Source organism: Homo sapiens, chromosome 20 (assembly GCF_000001405.40).
Source record: "Homo sapiens chromosome 20, GRCh38.p14 Primary Assembly".
Lineage (NCBI taxonomy): Eukaryota > Metazoa > Chordata > Mammalia > Primates > Hominidae > Homo > Homo sapiens.
Genome location: NC_000020.11, coordinates 902,965 through 913,229, shown reverse-complemented (window position 1 = coordinate 913,229; position 10,265 = coordinate 902,965). Strand labels below are relative to the sequence as shown.

Here is a 10,265-nt window from a genome sequence, read left to right as displayed (position 1 = left end):
GCCTTTTTTTGGCTTTTTCTCTAACATCTCAGAAAAGTTAAAAAAAGAGTTTTAAAATACTCATCTAATGGCACCATCAGCATCATCATCACCATCATCACCATTGCCATTAGGGATGAACAAGCTCTCAGCAAGATTCTGTTCATCTAGACAGACACAGGGGAGATCCTTCCTGTCGCGAATCCCAGAAGCCATCATCTGCTCAGCCTGTGCCCCCAACTCCCCTCCTGTTCCCCCAGTGTACAGGTGAGGAAACAGGCCAGAGAGGGAAAGTGACTTGCCAGAGCCATGTAGCAGTGAAAGCCAATCTGGATTCTCACTACAAACTGCAGGTACTTTTTCCTGACTCTGGAAGGTGTCAAGGAGGCAAGGGAAGCAAGATCTAGAGAGGATGGGATGCTCTTGGTGCTCCCTTCTACTGCAGAGTTTCCAAGTCCCCAGATACGCACTCTTTCCTAGCATACAGCTTGCTGTGTCCTACTGCCAGTGCTCATCAGGCATGGGGAGAGCCCCGGCCTCACCTCTTCTCTCTCTCTCCTCTTTCATACTCTCCTCCTCCCCTGCACTCCCCTTCCCTTTCTTCTCCCTGCTCTCCCCCTCCTTCTGCCTCCCTCTCTCTCCTCCTCCTCGCTCCTGGAAAGCCCCTGCCCCAGTAACTCCCATCTGGAGCCAGCTCCTGGGGCTGCACGTCAGCTCTGGGCTCTGCTCCACCCCGCTCATATGGATGAGAAGCTGCAGGCAGGAATATTGAGGAGGTTGGGGGACAGAGCCGGCTGCAGTGCAGGCATCTCTAGCTGGGCTGGGCAGCTCAGTGGCTAGTCACATGACCTCCTCTGTCCACCATGCCCTCCCTCTAGGACCCAGTGCTGGCCCTTCCCTCTCAGTGCCTAATCCGGAGGCTGGGAGGAGAATGACAGCACCTACCCCTGACCTTTGATGTGGGGTCAAGAGAAGCAGAGCAGAGAAAGCCTCTGCACACAGCAGGTGCTCAATAAGGGCTCCCGTGTGTGACTGCCATTCCCCCAGTTGCCCCAGGTGTCCCATCCAAGAAGTGCCATACTCTGCCTTCTCTTCATGGCCCCACAGAATGATCCATTATACAGATGAGGAGAATGAGGAAAACCAGGGCCAGACACAAGCCCCAGCCTCTCTGGCCCACCCCCACCACCTGAGGGCAGCACATCTTCCCCAGTCTCTGAGCTCCCAGAGGCAGGGCTGACCCCACCTGGAAACTGCAGGTGAGAACTACTTTCTCACCTTTAGGGAGCAGCCAGCAGCTGCTGGCCTGGGGTCCATGGCAGCCCTCTCTCTGCCTATCTCCCTGTCTATCTCTGTCTGTCTCTGTCTCTTTCTCCCTCTCTCTGTCTCTCTCTCCCTCTCTCTGTCCCTCTCTCCCTCTCTCTGTCTCTCTCCTAAAGACAAGGTCTGACTCTCTCAACCACACTGGGGTGCAATGGTGCAATCACAGCTCACTGCAGCCTTGAACTCCTGAGCTCAAGCGATCCTCCCGCCTCAGTCTTCCAAGTAGCTGGGACGGCGGACACGAGCCACTGTGGTCAGCCTGTCTCTATTTCTGAGTCTCTCTGCCTCTGTGGATCTCTCCTGGGGCTCTCGCGGTGGCCCTGACTCACTGTTGCTAACTCTGTGGGTGTCTCTGTCTCTGATTCTCTCTCCTGGTTGGCTATCAAAGTGACTCCCTGCATCTTTTCCTGTCTCTTTCTCAGCTCCTCCTTTTCTCACCCCAAGGCCATCCCTCCCACCTCTACCTCCCCGAGTGTCCACACTGAAGACCCAGGGCACATCTGCCAAATGACCAATGCCCACCCTGCAGCTGGCTGCTCAGCCGAGGCCTCTTTCTCTTCCTCCTCTGCACCCAAAGCCAAGCAGAGAGGGGTCAGGGGCTGGGCAGGGGCCTCCCAACCTGGCACTGCCCCAGCCTCTGCTGTTTGCTCCAGGTCTCTGACATCAAACCTCAGAATAACTGGGCCCCTCGGCCTGGCAGTTGTGAGGCCCTGCCTAACTGGGTGTGGGTCAAGAGAGCACCAAGGAGGAACCCAGGGTGGGGTCCTTGCCCAGCCTGAGACCCTCCCAAACTGACCTGGTTTGGGAGTCAGGGTTCCAGTTGCCCCAGCCTTCCCAGGCTGCCCACAAATTCTTGGCATTTTCAGCCTTCAGTTATCCAAACAAGAAATGAGTCTCGGTGCCGAACAAAATATCTTGGGGTTTGATTTCCTAACCTCACTGCTGGCTCCTTTCTAAGCAGTTTGGGACTGGGGGATGGGGGAAACAGCATCTGCTTCTTAGAGGAATGGGATGATTTTTCCAAGAAGGGGGCCTGGAAACAGCTGGCACAGATACCCTCGGCCTGGGGATGACCAGCTGGCTCATGCCTGGGATGAGGTGGGGGTGCAGGGCAGGCACCAGCAGCAGCAGACCCCCTGACGACTTCCCCCAAAAGGACGGGTTTATTTGTTCAACTGGCTTGGCCAGCCATCCCACAGAGGGCAGGGCCACATGTTTCTAGTTCTCTCCTCCCTGGCCTTAGAGCTCAGCCAGGCTGGGATGTACACAGACCTTCTTCTCCTTCTCCTTGGGCAGGAAATGTTAGAAAACGGGCCCCAGGTCTGCCCCCTAAGCCTGCACCTCCAGTCAGACTCTGGCCGCAGTTTGTTTGCATAACCTCAGAGCCAGCTCTGAAATGTCAGGAATGAACCCTGAGAGTTGGCTGTGGGGTCTGGGGAGGACCAAGTTGGGGTCAGGAGGTCAAGTCCCAGGGGTACCACTCAAAGCTATGGGAACCCGGGGAAGCCACATATATCAATTGGCTCCTCTCTAAAGTGGAACTCAAAATACTCGTGCCTCCCAGAATGAGTGGAGGATGAAAAAGCAGTTATGACGTAATGAGTAAGCACTCATTTAGTGAGCATTTACTGTATGCCACACACTGTCCTAGGTGCTTTATGTTACGGCATTTAATTCTCACCATGACCCAGTGAAGTAAGATTGCTTGTCCACTAACAGATGAGGAAACTGAGGCACCAAGAGATTAGGTGACTTGCCCAAGATCTTACAGCCAAGAAGGGCAAAGTCAGATTCAGCCATCTGATGCCGGAACCTATTATCTCAGAACTTAAGCCAGTTTTCTGTCCAATAAATAAGCCATGTCCATGGTGGATGGGTCCCTGGGCATTAGCTGGGACCTGGAAAATATAGAGGACCCTGGTCCCCAAAGGGGAGATCCATAGCTACTAGATTTTTCTTCCCCCAGGAACCCTTGGCCCAAGGCTCCCTAGGGCTTTTCTGCCAGGGATGATTCAGGTAGGGCCTCAGGCAGCTGTGGCCGTTCTGAAAAGCTAAGGGGCTCCAGAAGCTCAGTCTGGGTGTCCCCACAATTACACACCCCATTCTTGGCCCAGGGCCTGGGGGCAAATCCCACAGAAGCCGAGTGTAGGCCCTGAGTCCCAGTTGACTCAGTCTGAATCCCAGCTCCACTGCTTACTGGCTGTGCCTTCTCAGACCATTGCTTTTCCACTCTGTGACTCGGTTTCCTTATCTGTGAAGTGAGGACACTAACAGAAGCTACTTTGCAGGTTATTGAGGAGATTAAATGAGGCAATGCACATGTGGGGCTCAGTACAGGGCCTGGCAGAGAGTAAGTGCTCAGTAAACGTCAAGACTCCAGGATTCACGGTGCAAGGAAGGAATCCTGTCGTACCATCCATATCTTACTATAGTTTCCTTTTGTTCCCTCAACTTTACATCTGTGAGATTATTAGCTGTGTAACTATGAGAAAGACCTGAGCTTCAGTTTTTCAATCTATAAAATTGAGGTGATGATACACACATCGCCTGGGTTTGCTGTGAGGCTCAAATGGCTGGTCAGGGGATGTGCCTGGCACTGCTCCAGCACAGAGAACCAGGAGATGCTACTATTGTTTCCTCTGTCTTCTGGGATAAGTGCTTTGCTGGGGTGAATTCACATATGGGACTTTCTCTGGGCCAGGCACTTTATATGTGTCTTATAAACATTGACTCATAAACCTCGTGGCATCCTAAAAGGTGGGGACTGTTATGATCCCCATTTATTGCGGGGAAACGGAGGCCCAGGGAGTTTACACAGCTAAGAAGTGAGGGAGGTGAGTTCGTACCCGGGCAGACTGGCTCCAGAACCCACAGTCTTAACCACTACACAGACCACCTCTCTGTGCCCACCATTTACAGATGGGAACACTAAGCCTGGGCAAGGGAGTGACTCAATCACATTCACCCAAGGGTCGGTGGCAGGAGTTGGCCCAGAACCCAGGGTTCCTGACACCCAGCTGAGACCCCTGTTTCTCCTCTCCAGAGGCAACAAGATACATAGCATGCCATAAATGTCATGAAAAAATCATGCATCCTTTCAATTCTGGGACTATGTGTAGATGTGCAACCCCCGACTCCTGCCCCCCACCACACACAAACACAAATGTGTATACACAACTCTGAACTTAGTTTGTCAGGTAAGAATATTCATTCCTGCATTCATTTAATTGTCCCTTCCACCACTGTTTATTGAGGGCTTACAATGCGCCAGGCGCCATGCAAGTGACAAGGATTTAGTAGTGAGCAAGGAAGACCATCCTTCCCCCTTGCCCCTGGAGCAGTGGGTGTAACTAACCTAGTGATTTCCCATGTGCAACGATCAATCATGATATGTGCCATGAAGGAGGGACCGAGAGATGCTAGGGGTGGATAATGGGTGCCTGACCTTGAGGGAGGGAGGCACTAGGAAGAAGGACAGAGCTGAGATCTAAAGGCTGGGTTGGCAGTGGCGAGACAGGGAAAGGAAGCAAAAGCATTCCAGGCACACGGGACAGCAAGTGCAAAGGCCCTGGGGGTAGAATGGGCCAAAAGCAAAAGGCATTCAGTGTGTCTACAGTGCAGAGAGCGAGGAGAGCATGGCCAAGATGAGACTGGAGTGCTCACCAGGAGCCAGACAGATGTCCCTGGTCCTGACCCTGTTCTCCGTGGAGGACCATGGAGACTGGGAAGAGATGTGGCCACTTTTCTGTCCTGTCCTCACTGAGGATCATTCTCTGATAGACTGTGGACCTCTGAGCCAGCTTCCACCATCTTTGTCTGACCCTAATCTTATCCCTGTCACCCCATCTGCAGGATCAGCCTCAGCCACCAAGAAGGCAAGACAGGCACATAGAAAGAGCTCAGCCATTAAGTTAAAAATCTTCCTTTACCAGCTGTGAGTAATGCTCGGCCTTTGTGGGCCTTAGTTTACTCATTTGTGTGGGGAACAATCACCCTTTTCCTCCAGGCTGCTGGGGATCCAATAAGAGAAGAGGTACACACTGGAGTCGTACAGGCAGAAAGGCCTGGTGCCACGTGGGGAGATACCCCAGCAAAGCCTCCCTGTGTCTAGAACATACTTTGCCCTATTTTCCCAAAGTTGAGGTGAGGTTGGGGGGTGGGCAGGGGCGCTGTCACATGATCACTCTAGCCAAGAGGCCTTGCAGAAGCACCGCCTGGTTACACCTGTGAAGAGCTACCTGTCCTTGGACAAGTTGTTTAACCTCTCTGTGCCTCGTCTGTAAAATAGGTCGATAACAGGTCCTACCTTGGAGGGTGGCTGCAAGGACTTCATATACCTAGTGGTTAGAACAGTGCTGACCACATAATAACTGTTCAATAAGCATGTTGCCAAGCAAAATGGACACACCTCTCCATTCTGTGACTTTCAAGTGTCAGGGAGGTGAGCGATCGCAAACACCTCCCAAGATCAAGGTTGAAATATAGACGACCACCAAAGGCATACCTGAGCCTGAGGAGGCAGGGACCCTGGCAGCCCCTCCCAAGTCCAGATGGCAGAGGCAGGCCCTGCTCCCCTCCCTCTGCAGCCCTTTCCGCCACACTCCTCATCTTCTCCTTGTGGCCTTTCACCTGGGATGAACACTGGACCTGCCACCCCATGAAAGGTGAGGCTCAGGAGCCAGGGAAGTCCCAAATATTCCACAAATATGGGAGGCACTACTGTGTGCCAGGCACTGTGCTAGGCCTCATGAACCAGACAGACAAGAATCCTAGCCCAGATCCACAGAACACAGGTCCCAGTGGCCATTTCCCTATTCCTTCCAGGCGCTCTGCAAGGAGGAAACAATGAGGCCACTGAGGTTCAGAGAAACTCATCACTGGCAGAGAAAGGAAATGGCAAAGCTATTGAGCAAGCTTGCTGACTCTCAGTGCAGTGCTCCAGGCCCAGACCACACTGGATGTTTGGAGACGCTGGGCCTGTGTCAAAGAATTGAGGGTTGAGCTAGGGTTGAGAAGCTCATCCCTCCGTGAGAGCCCGTTGGTCCCCAAGTCTCTCTACCCCTGGCTCTCAGCCCACTGGCTGTGCTTGCCCAGAGCCTGACCCAGAAGAAAAGCAATAGTATGTCTTGCAGAGAGGAAAACAATGAGGAAGGCTTGGGCCCAGCTGCTCAGACAGGACAAGACAAACCATTTCAGTCTGCATTGAGCCACAGGGTGAGGGCCTGGTGCAGGCCCAGGGGACAGAAGCAAGGCAGAGGAGGAGGGGCCAACCCTCATAAATCACAAGTCAGCCCATTGTCAAAATGAGGAAACTGAGGCCTGGGGATGGCAGAGAAGAGAAGCAAGAGGGTTAAACCTCTATAAGCTCTGGAAAAGCAGTATATTAGTTATCTATTGTGGCATAACAAATTACCCTAAAACATTTAGCAGCTTAAAATAACAACAAACATTTCTTATCTTTCATAGTTTCTGAGGGTCAGGAATTCTGAAGCAACTTAACAAGGTAGTTCCGACTTGGGGTTTTTTTCATGTGGTTGCACTCAGGTATCAGCTAGGGCTGCACTCATCTGAAGGCTTGACCTGGGCTGGGGCTCGGCCTCCTGTGGCTGGTGAGCTGGCGCTGGCTGTGAGTAGAAGGCCTCAGTTCCCCTCCAGATGGCTTCCTCCCAAGGGCTGCTTAAGGGTCCTCAGGCCATAGTGGCCTACTTCCTCTAAAGCGTGTGGTCCAAGAGAGGGCAAGACAGAAGACACAATGCAATGGTTTAGCCAAGGAAGTCACACTAACGTTTCTACAATATCTAATTAGTCATGCCAGCCAGTCCTGACTTGTTGAGAGAGGGGACTACACAAGGGCATGAGCACCAGGATCCCTGGGGTCATCCTGAAGGCTAGCTGCCACAAGCAGCCCACCGAGTGGCTAAGGGTGTGGTCTCTGGAGACCAAAGGCCTATATTTAAATCCAGTCTTTGCCACTTAGGCAAGATGCTCATCTTCTCAATGCCTTCCTTTCCTCATCTGTAAAATGGTGACAATGGGAGCACCAAGGACTAAATGAGCTGTATTTGTAGGGCCTTGGGGTCATGCCTGGGACAGAGTAGCCCTTTAGATATCTTCCTTGGGAGACCGCAGCAGCAGTGCAGAGCCTGGCCTGTTCTGGTAGCTGCTCTATCCCCAGCACCATGCCCAGGTCTCGGCACATCTGAATGAGTTGGTTGGAGGAAGGAAATGAGCACCAAGACTATGTCTTGTTCATTTCTAGAACATTCCTCCTGCAGATACCCCAAGCTGACTCCCTCCCTTGCCATGGGCCTCCCTCCTGGGAACCCTCCTTCCTGCCCCTCCCATCTCTGTGCTGGTGTTTCTTCCCCTTTCTTTCTGCCCTGGCACCAGTTAGCTCTCTGTTCTCTGGTCTCTGTGGTCTCCACTGCCTTTGCCTCTCACAGGCTCCAGCAGTGGCTGGGCCTGGGCTCGAGGCTCCTAACTTGCTTCTAGCTGCCAAACAACTATTCAGTGGAAATCTCGTGCCCCTTACACAAAACTGACCCATCTGCTCTTTCCACAAATATTTATCGAGGACCTCTCATATGCCTAGCCCTATTCTAGGCATAGAGGATGTGCTCATGAACAGGGCAGACAAACCTCTGCACTCCTGGGGCTCTTCTCGTGGGGGAATTGGACAAATGACAAATGACTAAAGTGATTTCAGATGGCATGAAGTACTGTGTAGAAGCCAGAGTGCACACTGTGATAAACAGGTGGAGTAGAGTGGGGGTGGTCAGGGAATGCTTCTCAGAGGAGGTGACATTTTCAGGGAGACCTAGAAGTCAGAAGGAAGCTGGTGGGAGATGCTTTGGTGCTACTGAGATTGGGAGGTGTGGATGCGTATTGGGAGGGGGTGCAATAAGCAACTCTGTGGCTCCTGTGGCCACCTCTGCAGACCCTAGGGCCTCTCCTCCAAAGGGGCAGAAACCACTAGGCATAACCTCTGCCAAGGGCAGTTTGTTAACGATAGTCAAAATCACAACTGTTTTGGGAGGCTGAGGTGAGGTGGGAGGATCACTCGAGCTCAGGAGTTTGAGACCAGCCTGAGGCAACAAAGCAAGACCCTGGTCTCTACAAAAAAATACTGAAAAATTGGCTGGGCCTGGTGGCACATGCCTATAGTCCCAGATACTTGGGAGGCTGAGGTGGGAAGATCGCTTGAGCCTGGGAATTCAAGGCTGCAGTGAGCCATGATCACACCATTGCACTCCAGCCTGGGTGATAAAGCAAGACTCTGCCTCAAAAAACAAAGGACCAAAAAAACGTGTGATTTCACTCTACTTTGAAGCAATTCTACTTCAGAGGATTTATTCCCCACATAGACTTGTGGGAATGTTAAGTGACAGGTGTACAAGGATATTTGTAGCAGCCCTGTTTTTGATGTTAAAGCCTGGAAACATCCTACAGGCCCAGCTAGAGGGGACTAGATGAGCAAACAATGGAGGCCCATAGATGGAATTTCAAGCAGCTTACAATGCTGAGGCAAGTCTACCTGGATGAATGTGGAACATGCTATGAACAATGTTAAGCAAAAGGAAGCCAGGTGTGGAATGGCAAGCTGAGGTTTTTGTAGCCTGAAGGGCAGGTGGTGGGATGGAAACACAGTTACTGCAGATGTAGAAGTATGCATAGCGTTTCTCTGGAAGGAAACCCAGGAACCTCCCTCAGTGGCCTGTAGGGAGGGAACTGTGGGTTGAGGCAGGGACAGAAAAATTTGTTTTTCACTTCACTCCTTTTTGTTCCTTGGAATTTTGAACAATGTGTTTATATCACCCATTCGAAAAATAAAATTACAAAGATTTACATTTAAGTTGAAACACACACACACAGCTAGGTAAGATCTGACCCTCCAGATTTTCATACGTCTGCACCAGATCTGGCCATTAGCTCCTGTGTACAGCCTCTGGCACTTTATTTTCCTGATTGGGACCTCAGTTTTCCCATCTGTGAAATGGAGGGGATGGGAGCTGAGAGGTCCCTGAGAGCATCATTTAGGTCTCCCCCTCACTAAGTCTTTGCTCCCCAGATGTCTCCCTGCCTGGGCTCCTACCCCTGGGGCATCCCTGCTAAAGCCCGTTTCCTTTTACCGTCAGGCCGGGCTCAAATCTCCACACCCTGCACCACCCCAGCCATGGGGCTTTGGTTCAGCCTAGGACCTAGAACAGGCTTCATCCCAATTCCCACACCATCCCAGTACAGCCTGGTTTGGACTCTGTTCACTGGGGACTGTTTTACCTGTTTCCAAAGCAAAGAATTTTGTTCTTCACTAAAGGAATCTGCAAGGAGTCCTGGTCCTCTCTAAGCCACACGGGACCCAAGGCAGGGTTTAGAGCAGAGGGGGTCATAATCTGACAGGTTGACCAGGACGTCACTGGCTATGTGTGGAGCATAGCCTGGGGGCCCAGGGAGCAATGACAGATGCTGACAGTATCAAGGAAGCTTTGATCCCTGCTAGAGACAATGGGGGCTGGGACTGGGGTGGAAGTGGCAAGGTTGGGCAGAAGTGGTCAGATTCTGCATGCGCCCGAGGGTAGAGACAACAGATTGGATGCAGGATGTGAGAGAGACAAAGGAAAGCAGGGCAGCTCTGAGAGGCTGGGTCTGAACAACTAGAAGGGTAAGTTTCCTTAATGCCACCCCCATTCACAGAAACCTTGGTGCTTTGGGTCTGGTTCTGGAACAAGTCTGGGCAGAGACCCAGGAACTGGGTCAACAGGCAGAAGCCAGCAGCAGGGTTCACCCCATCCTCTGGGCTCACTGGCTGCAAGGCTAAAGCCTGGGTCGTACCCTGGGTGAGGGAAGCACCACTTTCACCCGCCCAGCCCCCGCCTTGACCCTCTTACACCCACAAGACCTGACCTCCCAGCCTTCCAAATCAGTAGACATGAGGAGGAATCTAGCATCTGCAACTTGATGGGTGA

At 52.2% G+C, this 10,265-nt stretch overlaps 1 protein-coding gene across 3 annotated transcripts in view; it reads left to right on the top strand.

Annotated features, from left to right (window-relative positions):
• The window catches only part of ANGPT4 (angiopoietin 4), a 46,435-nt gene that overhangs the window by 3,105 nt on the left and 33,065 nt on the right, over nt 1–10,265 (top strand). The window lies entirely within an intron of this gene.